At 43.1% G+C, this 22,375-nt stretch overlaps 1 protein-coding gene and 1 long non-coding RNA gene across 9 annotated transcripts in view, besides 9 other annotated features; both read right to left on the bottom strand.

Annotated features, from left to right (window-relative positions):
- PRORP-PSMA6 (PRORP-PSMA6 readthrough) overlaps window positions 1-22,375 on the bottom strand; it is a 195,633-nt gene that overhangs the window by 9,970 nt on the left and 163,288 nt on the right. The window lies entirely within an intron of this gene.
- PSMA6 (proteasome 20S subunit alpha 6) overlaps window positions 1-22,375 on the bottom strand; it is a 38,936-nt gene that overhangs the window by 9,992 nt on the left and 6,569 nt on the right. For 2 of the 5 annotated variants that reach the window (NR_104110.1, NM_001282233.1), the window contains exon 1: window positions 14,950-15,185. The exons of 1 other annotated variant lie outside the window; for it this stretch is intronic. Coding sequence is in view for 1 of the 4 variants with exons in the window: in NM_002791.3 (NP_002782.1) it covers window positions 14,950-15,025 (76 nt within the window). In the remaining 3 variants the exon portion in view is untranslated. Of the gene's footprint in view, window positions 1-14,901; window positions 15,186-22,375 lie in introns of those variants that run through there. 2 more of the 5 variants (NM_001282232.1, NM_002791.3) reach the window with 2 other exon arrangements.
- Window positions 13,024-13,203: an enhancer, noted in NCBI's record as "active region_8272". NCBI's record gives its function as "activates an Ori minimal core promoter by ATAC-STARR-seq in GM12878 lymphoblastoid cells {active_cell/tissue: GM12878}" and the evidence as "EXISTENCE:reporter gene assay evidence [ECO:0000049][PMID:35858748]".
- Window positions 14,657-14,716: an enhancer, noted in NCBI's record as "active region_8271". NCBI's record gives its function as "activates an Ori minimal core promoter by ATAC-STARR-seq in GM12878 lymphoblastoid cells {active_cell/tissue: GM12878}" and the evidence as "EXISTENCE:reporter gene assay evidence [ECO:0000049][PMID:35858748]".
- Window positions 14,797-14,916: an enhancer, noted in NCBI's record as "active region_8270". NCBI's record gives its function as "activates an Ori minimal core promoter by ATAC-STARR-seq in GM12878 lymphoblastoid cells {active_cell/tissue: GM12878}" and the evidence as "EXISTENCE:reporter gene assay evidence [ECO:0000049][PMID:35858748]".
- Window positions 14,797-15,419: a biological region, named in NCBI's record as "H3K27ac hESC enhancer GRCh37_chr14:35761289-35761875".
- Window positions 14,833-15,419: an enhancer, noted in NCBI's record as "H3K27ac hESC enhancer chr14:35761289-35761875 (GRCh37/hg19 assembly coordinates)". NCBI's record gives its function as "activates a minimal SCP1, AML or CMV promoter by ChIP-STARR-seq in naive H9 embryonic stem cells {active_cell/tissue: H9 hESC(naive)}" and the evidence as "EXISTENCE:reporter gene assay evidence [ECO:0000049][PMID:30033119]".
- Window positions 15,037-15,116: an enhancer, noted in NCBI's record as "active region_8269". NCBI's record gives its function as "activates an Ori minimal core promoter by ATAC-STARR-seq in GM12878 lymphoblastoid cells {active_cell/tissue: GM12878}" and the evidence as "EXISTENCE:reporter gene assay evidence [ECO:0000049][PMID:35858748]".
- Window positions 19,810-19,869: an enhancer, noted in NCBI's record as "active region_8268". NCBI's record gives its function as "activates an Ori minimal core promoter by ATAC-STARR-seq in GM12878 lymphoblastoid cells {active_cell/tissue: GM12878}" and the evidence as "EXISTENCE:reporter gene assay evidence [ECO:0000049][PMID:35858748]".
- Window positions 20,690-20,799: an enhancer, noted in NCBI's record as "active region_8267". NCBI's record gives its function as "activates an Ori minimal core promoter by ATAC-STARR-seq in GM12878 lymphoblastoid cells {active_cell/tissue: GM12878}" and the evidence as "EXISTENCE:reporter gene assay evidence [ECO:0000049][PMID:35858748]".
- Window positions 21,657-21,756: an enhancer, noted in NCBI's record as "active region_8266". NCBI's record gives its function as "activates an Ori minimal core promoter by ATAC-STARR-seq in GM12878 lymphoblastoid cells {active_cell/tissue: GM12878}" and the evidence as "EXISTENCE:reporter gene assay evidence [ECO:0000049][PMID:35858748]".

The following is a 22,375-nucleotide window of genomic DNA, read 5'->3' as shown; positions in this document are numbered from 1 at the left end:
TTGGCATCCCAAAGTGCAGGGATTACAGGTGTGAGCCACCACTCCCCGCCCCAATAATGGTTTAATTTAATTTTTATCATACTGCATCTTTATCAATGATGTTTTGTCATTTTAAAAGGTTTTTTGTGGCCATTATTTCTAAGTCTGGTTTTCCCAGGTCAAATTTAGCTGCTTTAAATTTTTTCTAGACTTAATACTTTTGTTAACTTTTGGTCAGTAACTAATTTGACCACATGAAGTTTTAATTGCTGTTTGATTATTTTGCATTAATTTTTGTCTACCAAGTTGAATATTTCTGGATCATGCTTTTTGCAATTTTTATGTTACCTACAACATATGACTCTTTTCTTTTTTGAGATGGAGTCTCGCTCTGTCGCCCAGGTTGGAGTGAGGTGGCACGATCTTGGCTTACTACAACCTCCGCTTCCCAGGTTCAAGTGATTCTCCTGCCTCAGCCTCCTGAGTAGCTGGGATTACAGGTGCACACCACCATGCCCAGCTAAGTTTTTGTATTTTTAGTAAAGATGGGGTTTCACCACGTTGGCCAGGCTGGTGCCGAACTCCTGACCTCAGGTGATCCACCCACCTCGGCCTCCCAAAGTGTTAGGATTACAGGCGTGAGCCACCATGCCAGGCCAACATATGACTCCATCTATAACAAACCTCAGCTTATGCACTTCTAGCTGCTGTCAATCCATTCTATTGGTTAAAACACTAGGATCAAAATAGTAGCTTACAAAAAAACTGCTTTGGCACCATGTAGCATAATTGATAATGGCTGTCTTTCGACAGTAAGATTACAGATCTTGCTCTGTCACCCAGGCTGGAGTGCAGTGGCATGATCTTGGCTCACTACAACCTCTGCCTCCCGGGCTCAAGCGATTCTCCTGCCTCGGCCTCGTCCTGAGTAGTTGGGATTACAGCTGCCCGCCACAACACCCAGCTAGTTTTTGTATTTTCAGTAAAGACAGGGTTTCACCATGTTGACTAGGCTGGTCTTGAACTCCTGACCTCAGGTGATCTGCCTGCCTCAGCCTCCTGAAGTGCTGGGATTACAGGCATGAGCCACTGCACCTGGCCCAAATTTTTCTTTTTTAAAAAATTTTTAGTAGAGATGACGTCTCACTATCTTGCCCAGGCTGGTCTTGAACTTCTGAGCTCAAGCGATCCTCCCATATCAGCATTCCAAAGTGCTGAGATTACAGGCGTGAGCCACCAGGACAGCCTCTGCAATATTTAAATTTAATAATAGACACATATTTTGGTGGGTTTTGAGATAGGGTCTTGCTCTGTTGCCTAGGCTGGAGCACCAGGGCATGATCATAGCTCACTGCAGCCTCGACCTCCCGGGCCCAAGTGATCTTCCAGCCTCAGCCTCCTGAGTAGCTGGGACCACAGGTGTATACCACCACACCCAGCTAATTTTCAATTTTTTTCCTGTAGAGATGGAGTCTTCCCATGTTGCCCAGGCTGGTCTCAAACTCCTGGACTCAAGCGATCCTCCCACCTCAGACTCCCAAAGTGATGGGATTACAGGGATGAGCCACCATGCCTGGCCTGTTTATTTTATTTTTAGTTAAAAATAGATATGGGGTCTTGCTATGTCGCCCAGGCTGGTCTCAAACTCTGGCTCAAGTGATCCTCCCACCTTAGGATTACAGGCATGAGCCACTGTTCCTGGCCTGGGCACATATTTTGTAATCAGGGGAAAAGCAACAAAAATCAATACATGCTCATGGTAGAAAATATGAAAACACAGAAGATAACTTTTAAATAATTATTCATAATCCCAATCATTATTTACATTTTGACATATAACAGATTATTTCAAAATTCTGTCTTCGAGTGTCACTCTGGGCACTGAGTCTGAGCCAAGGCCTCATCTGTTCAAAAAGCCACAGGTGATGACGACCAGCTAAGAAAGCTACTGCCTATCAGGCTAAAGAATCTCTTTTAATAGAAACTGTAATAAATCATCAAATATTTCTAAATGGCTAACTATTTAAGAGAGAACAAAAGAACAGAGCAAAAATGATTCTAGAAAAATCACCTTAAAGGAAATCCTCAGCTGGGTGCAGTGGCTCACATCTGTAATCCTAGCAATTTGGGAAGCCAAGGTGGGAGGACTGCTTGAGCCCCGGAGTCCCAGGCCAGCCTGGGCAACATGGCAAGACCCTGTCTCTACAAAAAAATGTTAGCTAGGCATGGTGGTACACCTGTGGTCCCAGTTCCTTGGGAGGCTGAGGCAAGAGGATCACTTGAGCCCAGGAGGTCGAGGCTGCAGTGAGCCGTGCTCACACCACCGTACTCCAGCCTGGGCAACAGAGCAAGACCCCATTTCAAAAAAAAAAAAAAGAAACAAAAGAAAAGAAATCTTCAAATATGGCTTGGATTTAACTGGTTTTATCATTATTATCATTATTGAGCAAGAGACAGCATCTTGCTCTGTCACCCAGGCTGAGTGCAGTGGCACAATCATAGCTCACCACAGCCTCAAACTTCTGATTCAGACCCTCCCACTTCAGTCTCCTGAGCAGCTGAGACTACAGGTGGGTATCACCATGCCTAATTTAAAACAATTTTTTAGAGATGGGGTCTCACTACATTGCTCAGGCTGGTCTCAAACTCTTGGCCTCAAATGATCCTCTTGCCTCGGCTTCTGGAGTAGCTGGGATTACAGCAGGTATGAGCCATAACCCCCAATTTAATTGGTTAATTATAATAGCAAAATTTTACCATCCCATTACACTACAAATAACTTTTTTTTTTTTTTTTGAGATGGAGTTTCACTCTGTCGCCCAGGTTGGAGTGCAGTGGTGCAATCTTGGCTTACTGCAACCCCTGCCTCCTGGGTTGGAGCAATTCTGCCTGAGCCTCCCGAGTAGCTGGGATTACAGGTGTGCACAACCACGCCCAGCTAATTTTTGTATTTTTAGTAGAGACGAGGTTTCGCCATGTTGGCCAGGCTGGTCTTGAACTCCTGACCTCAGGTAGTACACCCACCTCGGCCTCCCAGATGCTGGGATTACAGGTGTGAGCGACCGCGCTCAGCCTACACTACAAATAACTTCTAAAATGTAGCTGGTGCCTCGCTATTTGTGGGGATTGGTTCTAGGACCTCCCATGGATTCCAAAATCCACAGAAACTCAAGTCTCTGATATAAAATGGCACAGTATTTGCACATCGCCTATGTATATCCTCCTGTATACTTGAAATTATCCCTAGCTTGGCCAGGCGTGGTGGCTGACACCTGTAATCCCAGCACTTTGGGAGGCAGAGACAGGCAGATCACCTGAAGTCAGGAGTTCAAGACCATCCTGGCCGACATGGTGAAACCGCATCTCTATTAAAAATACAAAAATTAGCCAGACATGGTGGCAGGTGCCTGTAATCCCAGCTACTCAGGAGGCTGAGGCAGGAAAATCGCTGGAACCTGGGAGGTGGAGGTTGCAGTGAGCTGAGATTGCACCACTACACTCCAGCCTGGGCTACAGAGCGAGACTCCGTCTAAAAAAAAAAGAAAGAAATTATCTCTAGCTTACACTACACGAGCTAATACAATGAGTGAGACTCCGTTTAAAAAAAAAAAAAGAAAGAAATTATCTCTAGCTTACACTACACTAGCTAATACAATGTAAATGCTAAATAGTTGTTATACTACATTGTTTAGCGAATAATGACAAGAAAAAAATCTGTACATGTTCAGTACAGGAGCAATTTTTTCCCTGAATATTTATGATCTGCAGCTGGTTGAATCCATGGATGATGAACCCATGAATATGGGTTGAATATGGAGGACTAGCTGTACAACTTTCAAAGTGCTTCTTGATTCTGATCCTGATATGGCTAATAAAGCTTCTATCAGATCAGCCCTCCACAAATAAAAAGTACTAACTCTAAACAAAACAACAACTACCTAAAGACACCACAAAGTCAGATTCTAGAGGGGAAGTCAACAGTTGGGAGAAAGGAATGGCATGAGTTGAGTTTCCCATTTTTGTGGCTCATAATCTGAGAGCAGTAAAGGCTGAACTCCCACAGAAAACTCAGTCTTTTTGGCCTGAAGAACTAGAGAACAGTTTGGGGTAACAATAGCTGCCAGAAAACAAGGGAGAGAAACCAGAGCACTAGAGAGTGAGAGTCCCAACTTCTATATATAAACACTGCCCAAATCTCTAGCAGATTCCATAACAACACACACAAGGCAGACTCCAAGCGGCCTAGTTAAGGATAAAAGAAACCGAGTGAGATTTAAGATGCCACCCAAGAGACAGACTTTGTAGCTTGAGAATAACCAAATTAACTGCCTATTAGAACAAAACAAGTCAATACTCTTTGGAGAAATATAACAGAATCCACAGTCTTCATAAAATAACATTCATAAATGTCCAGGATACAATCCGGAACTCTCAATATACCAAAAAACAAATCAAGTCAAACTAAAAAACCAAAACCAAAACCAAACAACAAAAACCAGGAATATTGTGTTTAATTCTCAAAAAGAACAATCCTGAGACGACCCAGATGTTGCTGTATTAGCAAAGAATTAAAAACAACCATTATAACTATGCTCAATGACATGATGGAAAATGTTCTCAAAATGAAAAATGATAGGAAATCTCAGCAAAGAAAAAATGAAAGAAGCAAAAGGAAATTGTAGAACTGAAAAATATAATACGTAAAATTTAAAAATTCACCAAATGGACGTAACTGTAGAATGGAGATGAGAAAGGAAAGAGTGAGTGAATATGAAAATGTATCAAATGATCCAATCTTAAAAAGGCAGAAAAAATAGTTGAAAAAAACAACGAATCTGTGGGTCTACATCAAAATGTGTAAGATATGTACAACTGGAGTCCTATATGGAGAGCAAAGAATCGGAAAACAAAATCTGAAGAAATAATGGCTAAAAATGTTAAAAATATGGCAAAAGACAAAAAAATTTCAGATTAAAGAACCTCAGAAAACTCCAAGCAAAATGAAAACAGAAAATCACATATAGATTCATTATGGTCCAATGTCTGAAAACCAAAAATAGAAAAAATTTTGAAAACAGAGAAAAACAAATGAAAAACATAAAGAAACTATGACATAATAAGTGTGTGTTGTTTAAACACCACTAAATTTGTAGTGATTCTGGCTGTGTGTGATGGCTCATGCTTGTAATCCCACTGCTTTGGGAGGCTGAATGGGGAGGATCGCTTGAGCCCAGAAGTTTAAGACCAGCCTGGACAACATGGCCAGAAATCAAGAAACAGTAACAGACAACAAGAGAAAAACCAGCTAAGTCAAAAACTGGTTCTTTGAGCCAATAAAATCATTAACCCTCTGGTAGGTTGGTAAATGCATCCCCAAAATATATCTATGTCCTAGTCCCTGGAACCTGTGAATGTTACCTTATATGGCAAAAGCAGGCAGAGGGTCTTTAGAGATGTGATTTTTTCCTAGAAAAAAAAAAATTCTAGTAACACTTGATCTTCAATCCCACATAGCAACTGGCCACAAAGAAAAAAAAAATCACCTAAGCTGAGCAGGTGTTTTGCAGTTTTCCACAGGTCCCACCATTTCCTGTTATCTTTCACTCAGCCTGTTTTACTCACTGGCATTACTTATCTGGTCTGTGTAAGCATTTGTGTCTGTCATCCCTGAACTAAATAAATGAATACATGCTTATTGCTTAAATAATGCAAAAGGTAAAAGCCACAAAAGAGTATCTTCCCTACCACATAAACTTTTGTCTCACAAAATAAAAAACATTTTACATATAAAAAATGCTTCTCAACAGAGAATGCACCTGTGAATTTGCCAGGATTCATTAAGGGGGCCCTCGTTCTTTATATAGACCAGTGCTGTCCAACAGAAATTTCTGTGATGCTGGCAATGTTCTATATTTGCAATGTCCAATATGATAGTCACTAGTCATATGTGGCTATTGAGCACATAAAATGTGGCTAGTGTAACTGAGCAACTGGATTTTAAAGTTTTTTTTTTTTTGAGATGGAGTCTCACTCTGTCACTCAGGCTGGTGTGCAGTGGAGCAATCTTGGCTCGCCGCAACCTCTGCCTCCCAGGTTCAAGCGATTCTCCTGCCTCAGCTTCCTGAGTAGCTGGGATTACAGGCACACACCACCACACCCAGCTAGTTTTTCTGTATTTTTAGTAGAGACGGGGTTTTACCATGTTGGCCAGGCTGGTCTCAAACTCCTGACCTCAAGTGATCCACCCGCCTCGGCCTCCCAAAGTGCTGGGATTATAGGTGTGAACCACTGCGCTCAGCCAAATTTAAAGTTCTTTGTTAAGAATATCATTCCTACTCTTCCTCTCCTACTTCTCTGAACTTCCCTTCTCAATCTTCTTCACTGCTTTCATCTCTTCAGCCAGCTCCTGAAATACTGGTATTTCCCAGAATTCTATTATTTTCTCCATCCCTGGATGATTTTACCCTAAACCAGAGATTTAGCTATAACCTAGATAATCACTACTAATCTGTCATCTCTAGCTCTGGACTTATAATTACAAATGTCTATTTCTTCAAATACCTATGCCTATTAGCCACAGACATGTCTAAAAATAAACTCTTCCTCTTTATAAACCTGCTTTTCTTACAGTCCTTATTTCATAATTGTATTACTAACCACTCAATTTTTCAAGCTACAAACCTGGGTTATCACTCTTGACTCTAACCTCCTGCCCTTTCCCAAGAAATGTCCATTCTTATACCTAGGATTTGCTTTAACGTACTCTAGAAGAGCGGGGAAAGTGCGTGGGAAAGGGAGAAAACAAGACTGACAAAATATTGACATCAGATGAAGCTGTGTGATGGGTACATGAAGGTCACTGTACTAGTCTATCTACATTTGTCTAAAGTATTCTATAATAAAAATGTGAAAAATAAGCTCAAGAGACCCCTCCACCCTTTCTCTCTTATTACCTTAATTCACTCATTAGGGTTTATATGAATTACTGATACTGAGCAAACCTCTTCTAATTGTTCTTCCTGCCACCAGTCCCCTTTTTATTTTCTTTTCTGAGACAAGGTCTCACTCTGTTGTCTAGGCTGGAGTGCAGTGGTGTGATCGTAGCTCACTGCAACCTGAAACTTTCGGCTCAAGCAATCCTCCTACCTCAGCCTCCAGAGTATGTGGGACAACAGGTGTGTACTACCACACCTGGCTAATTTCATTTTATATATTCTGCAGAGACAAGGTCTTGTTATTTTGTCCAGGCTAGTTTCGAACTCCTGGCCTCAAGCAATCCTCCTGCCTTAGCCTCCCAAAGTGTTGGAATTCCAGGTGTGAACCATCAGTCCCTTTCTAATCCCATTTCTACACTCAACTCTCCTATTATTTTACTTAATTACCTCGCCATTCTTAAAGACCCCTGCTAGCTCTGTTCAAAACACATGGAAAAAAGTCCAAACTCTAGCATGGTACTCAAGCCCCTTCAAAATATTGCTATAATTTACTCTTTCAGTTGTTACTGTCTATACTGCATTCACACTGACTGATCTATGCACTGGTCCCCCAAATTTCCTTATTTAATCTTCATCTGGGCCAATTCATCTCTGAGAAGCCTTTCCCGGCTCTCCTAGGCAGTTAGTCACTTCCTGTAATACCTTTTTTATACTATTTAGTACTCATCAAGCTGCACTGTAATTTCAGTAAAGGCTTGTATAAATGAATCCCCATTTTAACACTACCACCATGAAATGTTTTATAATAATTTCCAGAAAAATGGAAACTGCCAGAGCAAAGAATTTAGACAACTCAACACCTAAAGAGTATCTTTTAAAGAAACACTGGCAGGGTAAACAGTAGTATCATGGTTTAGAGCAGATACGGACAACCTATGGTATATGAAGGCCAATTAAGAAAAAAGAGGCTGGGCATGGTGGCTCACGCCTGTAATCCCAGCACTTTGGGAGGCCGAGGCGGGTGGATCACTTGAGGTCAGGAGTTCAAGACCAGCCTAACCAACATAGTGAAACACTGCCTCTATTAAAAATACAAAAATTAGCCAGGTGTGGTGGCAGGCGCCTGTAATCCCAGCTATTGGGGTGCTGAGGCAGGAGAATCGCTTGAACCCAGGAGACAGAGGTCGCAGCAAGCCGAGATTGCACCACTACACTCCAGTCTGGGTGACAGGGTGAGACTCCATCTCAAAAAAAAAAAAAGAGGCTGGGCACTGCGGCGGCTCACACCTATAATCCCAGCACTTTGGGAATGGAGGCAGGAGGATCAGTTGAGCCCAGGAGTTCAAGACCAGCCTGGGAAACACCAAGATGTCATCTCTACTAAAAATAAAAAGTTATCTGAGCATGGTGGTGTATACCTGTACTCCCAGCTACTTGAGAAGCTGAGGCAGGAGAATTTCTTGAGTGCAAGAGTTTGAGGCTACAGTGAGCTATGATTACACCACTGCACTCCAGCCTGGGCGACAGAGTGAGACCCTGTCTCAAAAAATAAATAGCTGGACGCAGTGACTCACGCCTATAATACCAGTACTTCGGGAGGCCGAGGCAGGTGGATCACTTGAGGTCAGGAGTTTGAGACCAGCCTGGCCAACATGGTGAAACTCTGTCTGTACTAAAAATGCAAAAATTAGCCAGGTATGGTGGTGCGCGCCTGTAATCCCAGCTACTCAGGAGACTGAGGCAGGATAATTGAGTTAACCTGGGAGGCGGAAGTTATAGTGATCTGAGATTGCACCACTGTACTCCAGCCTGGGCAACCGAGTGAAACTCTGTCTCCAAAATAATAATAATAATAATAAAGAAATAAAGATAAAAATAATAGTTTATGGGCAGCATTTTAAAATGATATTTATTTTTTAAAGTCAGGATTCAAACGTTGGCAACAGTACTTAAACACTACATGATCAAAGACTTTGGTTTGGGCTAAAATTTTGGAAACTTACAGAACTCTAAAACTGAGTAAACTATTCTTGAATGTCCAAGATTATGCAAGAAAATAATAAGTCATAGTTCCTTTTCCTTTTTTTTTTCTTTTTTTGAGATGGAGTCTCACTTTGTTGCCCAGGCTAGAGTGCAGCAGTGCGATCTCAGCTCACTACAACCTCCACCTCCCGGGCTCAAGCAATTCTCCTGTCTCAGCCTCCCTAGTAGCTGGGTCTACAGGGGCACGCCACCACACCCAGCTAATTTTTGTATTTTTAGTACAGATAGGGTTTCACCATGTGGGCCAGGCTGGTCTTGAACACCTAAACTTAGGTTATCCACCTGCCTCGGCCTCCCAAAGTGCTGGGATTACAGGTGTGAGCCACTGTGTCCGGCCCCATTTTCCAGTTTTTAAATGGGAAAAATTATAATGCATTAAACTCGACTCCAAGCCCCCAATTTTCTAAATCTTAAATACACAGTAAAATACCTAAGTATTAGATTGAACCACACGAAACTGCCATTTTTACAGGTTAAAAATTAGTCAAAGACCAGCAGTTTCATGGTTGAACCCAACAACAAACCATTAGGTTAGGAAGTAAATTGCTTCCTTGCTCAAACAAAATGGTATCAACAGTTATTTTGTATGTAGAAATGTCATTTCCATAGTAATATCTTATTTGCTTTGTTTCCTTCCCTACCATTTTCCCCAACACTTCCTCAATTTCTCTGGGATTCATTTGTATACTAGAAAAATACAGTGGCTAAACATAAAAGGCACGGTGGCAAAATGTTCAGGACAGGCACACGATGCAAGACAATGGCTCACACTGTACACAGCTCAGGCTGTGAGAACAACAGCAGAGATATATATTCCCTTTATGTCACTCATCAGGTGTTGCAAAGCATTTACAGGTGATTCTGAGGTCCTACCAATTATTAGAAATGTAACTCAAGACTTTTTCCACCCATAATTTTGTTTAGAATGCTGTAGAGTTTCGGGATGTAAATATGATTTTCTCCCATATAAACGTGGGCTTGAAAAATAAAAATGAATTGAGAGATACATATTCTATGAGTTATTAAAAAACAGGCCTCACGGTGGCTCACGCCTGTAATCCCAGCACTTTGGGAGGCCGAGGCAGGCGGATCACGAGGTCAGGAGACTGAGACCATCCTGGCTAACACGGTGAAACCCCGTCTCTACTAAAAATATAAAAAATTAGCTGGGCTCGGAGGCAGGCGCCTACAGTCCCAGCTACTCAGGAGGCTGAGGCAGGAGAACGGCGTGAACCCAGGAGGCGGAGTTTGCAGTGAGCAGAGATTGCAACACTGCACTCCAGCCTGGGTGACAGAGCGAGACTCAATCCCCCCCAAAAAAATAAAAATAAAAATAAAACGGGATGTTCTACTGGGACAAAGAAAGTATATTCATATTCAATTTCAATGCTGTGTGGCAAAAAAAAAAAAAAAAAAAAAAAAAAACTTTGTTAAGATTTTTTTGAAGCTACTTATTTGCTTTTCCCTAAACTTGTAGGCTACATAATTGAGATGTGTGGTTCACTATAAAGTGCCTCCTAACCTTTTACTCTTTAGAACAGTGATTCCTCAAGGGGGTGGGGTCATTAGAAATCTTGGCACTGGGGGAGGGGGAAAGAGAGGGGGAATATGAGGTTTGAAAATACAGCAGTATTTGATCCCATCACTTTTTCTGTGTAGTTATATATGTATTTATGTAGATATGCACATGTATGTATGTGTATGCATGCACACACATGCATTGAATTTCAAATCAGATTCAAAGAGGGCATGAGAAGCCTGGGTTGAGAAATACTGCTTTGAAATAAGAATATTTTTTAAATTGCAAAAGAGGCAAATGGTAAGTACTTCTCAGTCATTTGTGAAATTTCTGACTCCATTTACATCAGCCATTTGTTTCTTCTTGACAGTATCCCCTACAGAAAATACTAATTGAAGGCGGGGCATGGTGGCTCACGCTTGTAATCCCAGAACTTTGGGAGGCCGAGGTGGGCAGATCATGAGGTCAGGAGTTCAAGACCAACCTGGCCAACATAGTGAAACCCTGTTTCTACAAAAAATACAAAAACTAGCCGGGCATGGTGGCAGGCGCCTGTAATCCCAGCTACTCGGGAGGCTGAGGCAGGAGAATCACTTGAACCCAGAAGGCAGAGGTTGCAGTGAGCTGAGATCACGCCATTGCACTCTAGCCTGGGCGACCAAGTGAGACTGTCTCAAAAACAAACAAACAAACAAACAAACAAACACCCAGAAAACATTGAGTGCTTACTATATATACCGGGCAATGTTTTAAATGCTTTACATTTATTAACTAATTAAATCCTTAAAGCCCTATAAGGTAGGTGGTTATTATCTTTATTTTACAGATAAAAAGTTCTTAGAGTTGGTATGCAGTAAGGACTTGAACTCAGGAATTCTGGCTTCAATACACAATGACACTTCTACATTTTATTTTCAGTATGTCTCCACCAGTCCATTTCTTTCTAGTTCCCTATCAGCACGCTCCCTTCTTTGTAGCAACCAGGCAGTGCTCACATACACCTGTCAAGCAAATCCAAATGACCACTCCTCTTCTCCTTTGCCAGACCTATCCAGCAAAGGATCAGCAAACAGAAGAGAAGGGCCTACAAGTAGCCAGGCTGAATTTGGCCAACTAGGGCCTCAGTCCCATTCCCCCTACAATGCACCTCCTCCCTCTAGTAACTTGGGCAATTCCTGAAAATAGATTACAAAGCTAGGTGTTCTACAATTTTTAACAAATGAATACATGCACACACATACAACCTGCATATGTACATTAAGAGAAATATTTCAGGCCGAGCGCAATGGCTCATGCCTGTAATCCCAGCACTTTGGGAGGCCGAGGTGGGTGGATCACCTGAAGTCAGGAGTTCAAGACCAGCCAGACCAACATGGTGAAACCCCATCTCTATTAAAACTGCAAAATTAGCCAGGAGTGGTGGCACATGTCTGTAATCCCAGCTACTTGGGAGGCTGAGGCAGGAGAATCGCTTGAACCTGGGAGGTGGAGGTTTCAGTGAGCTGAGATCACGGCCATTGCACTCCAGCCTGGGCAACAAGAGCGCAACTCTGTCTCAAAGGGAAAAAAAAAAAAAAGAAAAAGTCTTTCTCTCCACTCCCTGGGAGCAAACACTGCCAATAATATGTTATTAATAATTATAAAGTATGTTTATAATTATGATTGGCATTACAACTTTTTTTTTTTTTTAGATGGAGTCTAGCTCTGTCACCCAGTCTGGAGGTGCAATGGCACGGTCTTGGCTCACTGCAACCTCTGCCTCCTAGGTTCAAGCGATTCTTGTGCCTCAGCTTCCTGAGGAGGTAGGACTACAGGCACGCCAGCACAAGCAGCTAGTTTTTTGTATTTTTAGTAGAGACAGAGTTTCACCATGTTGGTCAGGCTGGTCTTCAACTCCTGACCTCAGGTAATCTGCCCACCTCGCCCTCCCAAAGTGCTGGGATTACAGGTGTGAGGCACTGCACCTGGCCAAGCATTATAACTTTAAATGTCTACCTCTATTTTTTGATATATCAACTTTAGACGACATTTATCTTTTGAGTCCCAAGTATGGAAGATAAAGAGCATAGTTACCTTCCATTAATCTCCCCTCATCATCATCCCATTTTTAAAATATTATTTTCCTACTGTCAATGTTAACAACTTGCATCCTATAATCCTTCCATGCTTTGTCTTTGGAGGATTCTAAAGTTTACAAACAGACAGTATTTAGAATATTATGATTATGTATATATTTTACTGGAGAACTAAGCATGGAAGGACCCATAAAAAGGGAAATATTCCATACAGAGCTACTAATCTAATAGACCAAAAAAAAAAGGGGGGGCCAAAGAATCAAACAAGCATCTAATAACATTCACTGAGCATTTACTATGTGGCAGGCACACGTTAAGCACTCTACATACATTGCCTTATTTAATTCTCAAAACCACCATTTAAGGAAGAATTATTATGAGCCCAACTTTGGAAAGAGAAACTAAGGCTAAGGTTACATACCTGGCAAGTGCCCAGATCAGGTAGTATGGAGCAGGGCAGAGATTTGAATCCATGTATGACTCCAGGGCCTGAACTCTTCACTATACTGCTTGCTCATACTACTCTTTCACTTTCATTTTCCTAACAATGTCTAATTAATGCCCTGAATAGCAGAGGGAGTGTGTTATTCACAGAGATTAAAATCATTCTGTCTAGGCTGGTGCTAGGCCCGGTGCTCACGCCTGTAATCCCAGCACTTTGGGAGGCCGAGGTGGGTGGATCACCTGAGGTTGGGAGTTCGAGATCAACATGGAGAAACCTCGTCTCTACTAAAAATACAAAATTAGCCAGGCGTGGTGGCGCATGCCTGTAATCCCAGTACTTGGGAGGCTGAGGCAGAATTGCTTGAACCCGGGAGGCGGAGATTGCGGGGAGCCGAGATCGCGCCATTGCACTCCAGCCTAGGCAACAAGAGTGAAGCTCTGTCTCAAAAAAATAAAAATAAATAAAAAATCATTCTGTCTAGATAATGAACTTGTTTTCAGATAGATGTTCTCTTCCAAATCTTTTAAAACCATCACAATGACACTGTGTTCAGCCTTTCCACTCACCAAATCTGGGAAGCATTAACGATTATGCTTTATGGCTGGACTTCACAATACAGTATATAGAAACAAAGTAAAGGTCTCAGAGTGACTTTTCCTGTTCACATATTAAAAATCACGAATGGAACGCTGAAAGCAGTAGTCTAATATACGAAAATTATTTAAAACTCAGGAATTTAATACAATAAATGAAAATTCTTTGAGGATACAGTTATCTCTTTGTTCTATCTTTAATCATGTTTTTCAATTGGGGATAAATTAAAAGGGCTACTGAATTATCCAACAAGATGTTTCTTGCTACATTATATACACTATGCAGTAATACACTGAGCAGTTTCATTCCAAGTTATCTTTAACTCTATTTCTAAAATTTACAGGTGAAGAGAACCTCATTTACAGACCAACTCTCTCCTTATGATTCCAAGCACAGATGATTATATTACTGTGCAAGACACGGAGCCACTAAACTCATTCAAAAATAAAACCATCACGGACCAGATGTAAATCAAGCCCTCCTGACACTAAATTCTCTATGGTAAGAGATCAAGGGTCTGGCTTATAATCATAACCTAAACCTTGACACCGTTTCAGCGCAATACATTACTATTCCGAGTAACTGATAGTTTCTTTCCACTACAGGTGTTCTTCAGTAAACTAGTACACAGTACCTCATCTACAACTCAGAATCGGCATTTAAATTACAGGAGCATTCAAACAGATGTGGGTAAAAAGGGGATGCCAATCTCAAGAGCAGCTCTAGAATTGAGTCACTCATTCTATCAGATTCCCAAAGATGTCTTGAACTCTGTAGATATTTGTAAATTGGCACTTTTAATTTTTTTTATCCGTTTGTTTAACGTATCTGTCACTCTAAGCTGTGAGCTTCAGTATAGAAGAGGGTGTAACATTCACATTTGTATCTCCTAGGACTAGCAGTGTCTGGTATATAGCAGGCTTCGAGTGCCTGTGTGGAATTAACCACAGAAGTCCATGCTGCAAACAAAGGAAAACGGAGAGGAGGCATTTTAGTTGAGACGTTAAGGAATCAATTACCCTTTAGAAACAGACCTTGTGCCTGGCCAGGACAGAATACAATAACTGAAGGGGCCTCACGAAGCCGGAGTCAGGCATTACAGCCCTATCTTCCTTAACTCTCCATTGGGTCTACGCAGTGTGGCCGCTCGCCCTGCAGAGACAGGCCTTCAGGCCCCCGATCCCTGCGTCCAGACGGGGGTGCAAACACCACAGAGCTCAATCCAGCTTCAGCCGTTCTCCCTTCCCAGCTCCAGCCCAGCTTCGGCCCCAGACTAAACCCGGGCCGCGTCTGCTCGCTCCAGGCACGTACCATGACAGGGCAATTCAGGTGGCCCACAGGCGAACCTGGTTCACTCACCTACTTGGTAGAGCCGACCCTCGGGTGAAAAAATGGTAATGTGGCGGTCAAAACCGGCGCTGGAACCACGGGACATGTTGGTAGAAGCACTACTTTAAACACAATCCCTGGGCCCCGTAGCTCCCGCACCAGGCACACAAGCACCTCCCGGAAGTTGCAGCGACTGCTTCCGGGGTACCAGCCGCGTTTCTTCCGCTCTTGCATGCCGAACTCACGGCTCTGGAGCCAGTTCGAGCACTGAGCTCTGAGGCCCCGCCCCCTAAGGGGGTGGTGGAGTGAGGGCGGGAGGCCTTTGAAGGTATGCGCCTGCGCCAAGCAGGCCTCTTGAGTGGATAGACGTGAAACTTGGGTCGTGGCGCTTTCAGGCTTTCATCTGGAGAATGAATTGACTATAGCAAGGACGAAAAGGCTTCCTGGGGGCCCAGAATAGCGATTTGCCTATCAGTGTGACCTAAATAGAACGTGTAATTAACAAGTCTCTTACATGCATCCTGTGTCTGGTCAGACTGCTGGCTTGCCTTCTTCCTAACCTCTTTTATCCTCCACTTTCATTCCTATTACGGGGGAAACAGGTTGCAGCTGCAGCTGCAGCCGTTAAATTTAGGCACTGAAGGAAGCGGGTTCAAGCAGCCGCTGGAAAGAACATTATTTTCTGACAGCCAGGCAAGATCTTCTTTTGGCCAGCAGCCCCGACAATTTTTAGTCTTTTTTTTTTTTTTTTTTTTTTTTGAGACAGAGTTTCGCCCTTGTTGCCCAGGCTGGAGTGCAATGGCGCGATCTCGGCTGACTGCAACCTCCCCCTCCTGAGTTCAAGCGATTCTCCTGCCTCATCCTCCCGAGTAGCTGGGATTATAGGCGTGTGCCACCAGGACCGGCTAATTTTGTATTTTTAGTAGAGGCGGGGTTTCGCCATGTTGGTCAGGCAGCTCTCGAACTCCTGAGCCCAAGTGATCCACCTTCCTCGGCCTCCCAGAGTGCTGGGATTACAGGCTTGAGCCACAGTGCCCAGGCAATTTTTAGTCTTGAAAGCGGAGGCCGGGCGCGGTGGCTCACGCCTGTAATCCCAGCACTTTGGGAGACCAAGGCGGGCGGATCACGAGGTCAGGAGATTGAGACCATCCTGGCTAACACGGTGAAACCCCGTCTCTACTAAAAAATACAAAAAAAATTAGCCAGGCGTGGTGGCGGGCGCCTGTAGTCCCATATACTTGGGAGGCTGAGGCAGGAGAACGGCGTGAACCGGAGAGGCGGAGCTTGCAGTGAGCCGAGATCATGCCACTGCACTCCAGCCTGGGCGACAGAGCGAGACTCCGTCTCAAAAAAAAAAAAAAAGAAAGAAAGCCTAACTCCAGCCTGGCCAACATAGGAAGGCCCCGTCTCTACAAAAAATAAAATTAGCTGTGCGTGGTGGCGCGCGCCAGTAGTCCCAGCTACTCGGGGGGCTAAGGTGGGAGGATGGCTTGAGCCCAGGAGATCCAGGTTGCAGTGAGCTATGATCACGCCACTGCACTCCAGCCTGGGCGACAGAGGAAGATCTATCTAAATAAAAAAAAAAAAATGTGGAACTGAGGTTGAAATACGAGTAATGGGGAATGAGGTTAAGCACCCTTGATTAATAATGAACTAGAGCTGAGGGGATGGGGCTTAGAGCAGCTAGTGTTGCATGGATTAATGAGAGTAATTCCAAGCTGGCGAGGTAGCTCCGGGAGAAGAGCAGGTGGCTTTTCAAATCGCAAATTTGTGCCTATTTTGACTTTCCCCAAGGCACACTCCCATTTAATGAATACAAAATGCAAAACATAATGTTAGGATAGTTGTTTTTCTCCCCAGATAAAGATGGTTTGTGTACAAGGAAGGCAAGATACACTAATGTTTGTGGCACTGTAATGCCTGCTGTAATACTGAAGTAGGGATTCTTACTCCTTTAATGTATTTCCTAAACTAACTTTCTATTTTAAAGAAAAAATGTTCTAAGACCTTCATAAGGGAATTCCAATTTCTCAAGTGTTTTTAAAAATTAATTTCTATTTTATTAATCTAAAAAATCCCAAACTGAAACATGGTTAAGAAAACGGTAAATGCATACAGCATCTCTGGCACAAAGGGTACTTTCCAGCACTGGCTAGTTCCCAAGTGGACTGATAAAAGTTTTCCCTTGCTTCTGGTTCAGGTCCCTACTCTCAGGACCAACTCCTCTTGACCTTTTGAAGACTTTTGTCTTCTCAGACTCTGAAAGAGCCTGGTATACTGTAATTCCTACTGTTTGCCTGCATAGTCAGAGTTCTCGGTAAGGCTGCTAGGAGGATGAACTTAGTCTCACAGCCTCAACAGCTGGCTCTATACTGATGTCTCCTGAATTTAGGTCTCTAGCTGGACCCTTCTCTGGAACTGGATCTTCTCTAATTGCCAATGGGATATTTTTCACATTGAGACATATGGCACCTCAAAACCCCACGTTTGAAAGAGAACTCCTTATCTCATCTATTCCCTCTCAAGCGAATTCCTGCCCCTTGTACCACATTTTCCAAGTCTTCAGAGCCAAAACTTTGTAGCAGTCTTAATTTCTTAATACTTCTCCCCCTCTGCCTTCATTTGTTCCTGCTCTGCTATTCTGCCTTTTTTTTTTTTTTTTTTTTTGAAATGCGGTATTGCTCTGTCACCCAGACTGGAGTGCAGTGGCATGATCACTGCAGCCTTGAACTCCTGCGCTCAAGTGATCCTCTGGCCTCAGCCTCCCAAGGAGCTGGGACTGCAGCTGCACACCAACAGTCCTGGCTAGTTTAAAAAAAATTTTTTTTAGAGACTAGGTTTCACTGTATTGCCCAGGCCAGCCTCAAACTCCTGGCCTCAAGGGATCCTTTGGCCTTAGCCTCCTGAGTATCTTTTTTCTTTCTGTTATATAATTCATAAATTTAGGCTGGGCGTGGTGCAACACCTGTAATCCCAGCACTTTGGGAGGCTGAGGTGGGTGGATCATTTGAGGTCAGGAGTTAAAGACCACCCTGGCGAACATGGTGAAACCTCATCTCTATTAAAATACAACAACAACAAAAAAAGCCATGCAGTAATGGTGTGCACCTGTAATCCCAGCTACTCGGGAGAGGTTGAGGCAGGAGAATCGCTTGAGCCTGGGAGGTGGGGGTTGCAGTGAGCTGAGATCATGCCACTGCACTCCAGTCTGGGCAACAGAGTGAGACCTTGTCTCAAAAAAAAAAAAATCATAAATTTGTTCACTGTTTATTGTCCCTCATGCCCACCCACAATTTAACCTCTGTGATGGCAAGGATTTTTGTTTTGTTCACTGATACAGCTCAGACAACTTGAACAATAACCAGCATATATTAAGTGCTCAATAAATATTAGTTGAATGAATGAATCCCTAATGGTGTGGGAGTTAGTTCATCCTTTTTTATTTAAACCTGAATTTAAATTCATTTGTGACAGTTACTAGTTGGTATCAAACTCCTAGGCTCAAGCCAGGAGTGTCCAATCTTTTGGCTTCCCTGGCCACATTGGAAGAAGAATTGTCTTGAGCCACACATAAACTACACTAACACTAATGATAAGTGATGGGCTAAAAAAAAAATTGCAAAAAAATCTCATAATGTTTTAAGAATGTTTACAAATTTGTGTTGGGCCACACTGAAAGCCATCCTGGGCCACATGCAGCCTGCAGGTCATGGGTTGGACAAGCTTGGCTTAAGCAGTCCTCCTGCCTTGCCCTCCCAAAGTGCTGAGATTACAGGTGTGAGCCAGCATGCCTGGCCTGTGATGGGATATTTCAAATCACACATATTACGCACCCTGCAGTCTATGAGAATTATTTCACACATTCAAACAAATCTTCATCCCCTCTTGTGGTATGGTATTTAAGCTGGGCATAGGATTTTGGATGGTGTATATATTTTAATACTCTAAAGGATACTTCCTGGAAGGAATCAACCTCATTTTCAACACAAACATAAATTGAAAGCTAGGATTAAAAATCAGGCTCCTTGAGGGTGGTGGCCACATCTGTTTTTGTTGTTGTTGTTGTTGTTTTTGGCTTATTTTTTGAGATGGAGCCTCGCTCTGTCGCCTAGGCTGGAGTGCAGTGGCACGATCTCGGCTCATTGCAACTTCCGTCTCCTGGGTTCAAGTGATTCTTGTGCCTCAGCCTCCCAAGGAGCTGGAATTACAGGTGTGCACTACCACGCCTGGCTAATTTTTGCATTTTTAGTAGAGACAGGGTTTTGCCATGTTGGCCAGTTTGGTCTCAAACTCCTGGCCTCAAGTGATCCGCCTACCTCGGCCTCCCAAAATGCTGGGATTACAGGCGTGAGCCACCATGCCCAACTAGCCACATCTGTTTTGTTCACCAGTGTATCCTCAATACCAAACAGTGCCTAGCCTGAGGTAAGCACTCCAATCATTTGTTGAATATGCATTCTCACTGTTTAGGTTTTCTATTATGTTAATTGTTTTTCTTTATTCAAAAAGATTTGTCAGTAAATGAGAGATCCAAATTTCAAAACCCTAAAAGGTCAGAGATTTTATATTAGAATTTGAGATTTTTCCACATAGCTAAATGAATTCCTCTGGGAAATCTTTCAGAAAGACAAAACGTTTGCCAATTCCATTCAAAGGGAAATCCCCTGGAAGCCGACTTCGTGAATATGTGCCAACGGGCTCCGGGCAGCAGCTAAACTACTCACTCAGGTGGACTTTCCCCTGGGTCAGGGAGCTTTCAGAAATGTCTGGGTACCAATACTGCAGCTCTAACACAAGCCTGGGTGGCAGACTTGCTGTGTCTGTGTGGAAAGTTTGATCTTCCTCTCTGTGGGGCCATCAAGTTAGACTTTTTGAAATGACTTTCTGGTTTTTTGAAAAAATTTAGAGATGACTTGACATCTCGTGAGTCTTGGAAAATCTCCTGGGGGCCTCCGTTTGGCAAGGCCCACATTCTCCCCTGGGGGTGGAGGTAGGTGGAAGGTAAGGGTTACCCACAAGGCAAAGGTAGAAAGTGGCAGTGTAGATTCCCAGAGACTGCAGACATGCTGAATCACATGGTGTTTAAAGGCAAGATAAGAATGTAGCCCTTAGCTTAAGGTGCTCTGCCGGCAGTTTCAGTGAGCCAGGGAATAAAAAAAAAGAAGCCTATTTGTGTTTCCATATGATATTAGCAGGGGTTGAAACACAGTGCCCTGTGAGTTGGCCACTTGCAATACAGCATCTTAGAGGAGTATCCTGATGTTAAGGGGCCCCAAAGGACAGCTGTAATAAGGACAGAGCTAGGGATGTAGCAGTTCTGGGTAAAGAAAGGGACGTAGGACTCTGCCCAGCTCTCTGGCCAGATTTTCACTAATTCAGAGCTTCCTCCCTGAGGACAAGAACCTGGCTCTGTATCTTTCCCTTTTTTGTCTTTCTCAGATCCTTCAGTTCTTCTTGCACCCCAGTAGCTATGGTTGGCTACCTAGGACTTCAGTCATTCTGGATGAGTGTTGGAGGAGGAGAAAAGGGTACTTTCTCTACTCTAGTTCTATAATTTATGGGTAAAGGAAACGGACAAATGGAGCACCAAATGTGGTTTGGGGTGTGACTTCTGTGACTTACATGAGGCAACTTACATGAGGTTATGCTTCTCATAAGCCCTTCAAACCCCAGATTCCAATAAAGCAACCCTCCTCTGCCCCCTTGTCTGTAACATCTAGTGTGGTTCTTCTACCCTCTGGAACCAATGGTGGATGCAATACAGTGTTTAGCAACATAGAAGTCACACAACTATCATTTCCCTTCTGTGCCATCCCCTTACTAACCAGTCAGTGTGGTTCTGGGCCTGGATTATCTCAGCCATTCCCCAGAATAAATGCTGTCCTTTGGTTTGAGAGGGAATAAACTTGTATCACTTCAACCCAAAGGACATTTAAATACAACTATACATGAACCCCTCTATAGAGCCAAAACCTTTAGCTTTTCAGTTCACCCTTGTTTTTTAGCTATAATAACTTCAGTATTATCCTCTTACGGCTTTTGATATTTCTTGTTTTTCCAAGCTCTGTCTTAAATGAAAACCCGATGCTCAGCTTCTTGTTTCTGGAAGCCAAGGACTTTGAAAAACACTGAGAATTCTCATGGGTCTCCCCACAATACTGGAAGAAACAACGGAAGACCCCAGCTGGCTTGGGCTTAACCGTTGGTGGTTTTTAACATACAGCTTCCCCTTAGGCATGTTAACACAGGAAGCCCTTCATAGCTTGAGAGAACAGCAAATGTTCCAGTGAAAAATAAGATGGGGAAGGGTGGGAGAAGCGAACGGTCATATTGTGAACTTTGAAAATGGTCAGGTTCTGCTCTGAGTGTCAGCAGCACTGGGTTTGAATCTGAGCCTTGCCACAGATTACTTGGTGACCATAATCTCAGTTTCTTCTTCTCTCAAACAGGTGAGTATGCTGTACCCACTTTAAAAGGCATAGAAGTCCACTACGGTGAAATTAAGCCACCTACTATTTGACTGGAACTCAGCTTCTTTGTGAAAGGAGGGGGCGCACTGATGAATAAGGCCTGAATTGTTGGCTATTTCGCTTTGATCTATCCCTAGTAAAGAATGAAACCAAATAGGTACTGCATGGGCCTGCACTGCACACTGCTATTATTCAGAAGTGAAACTCACTCTGTCTTAATTTGGAAAGCAGCTAATTCTTACCTATCGTGTCACACACACATGCAGCCTTCACCCATGAATGTTGATGGGGGATGGAACTGCAAGATCAATTATTTCATGGTACCTCCCTACATCTTGGGATCTTTATGAACTTTATTTAGACTTTATTCACTCTATTCCCCACCCCCACCCTCAGCTCCCTGAAGGTGGGGAAAGGGAGGTGCAGAGATTGGCCAGTCACTAAGAAAGTGAGTCAAGAACAGAGAGGAAATAAGACTCAACAGCCTTCCCTTTAGCCTAGAGACACTTCCTCTTCCTTGAGGTTTCCTAATTGGCTGACTCTAATTCCTATTTTCTTACCACAAAATTAAGTCATCTGTGATGCTCAGAATGAACCAAATTCTCTTGAGGGTAATTGGAGAGAGGGAGAGAGAAAATGCAAATGAATGAGGTTTCTGATCATTTTGACCAATATTTTCAGTCACTAATTTAGAAACCAGTTCTTGAGAGTCCAGTTATTGATAGAAAAGCAAGAGTGTGCTACGGTTTTTTTTTTTGTTTTTTGTTTTTTTTGAGATAGAGTTTTGCTCTGTCACTCTGGCTAGAGTGCAGTGGCACGATCTTGGCTCACTGCAACCTCTGCCTCCCAGGCGATCCTCCCACTTCAGCCTCCCAAGTAGCTGGGACTACAGGCATGCACCACCATGCTTGGCTGATTTTTAAGTTTTTTGTAGAGATAATGTCTCACTATATTGCCCAGGCTGGTCTTGAACTCCTGGGCTTAAG

Source organism: Homo sapiens, chromosome 14 (genome assembly GCF_000001405.40).
Source record: "Homo sapiens chromosome 14, GRCh38.p14 Primary Assembly".
In the NCBI taxonomy this organism is placed as follows: domain Eukaryota; kingdom Metazoa; phylum Chordata; class Mammalia; order Primates; family Hominidae; genus Homo; species Homo sapiens.
This window is presented reverse-complemented; position numbering and strand designations above follow the sequence as displayed.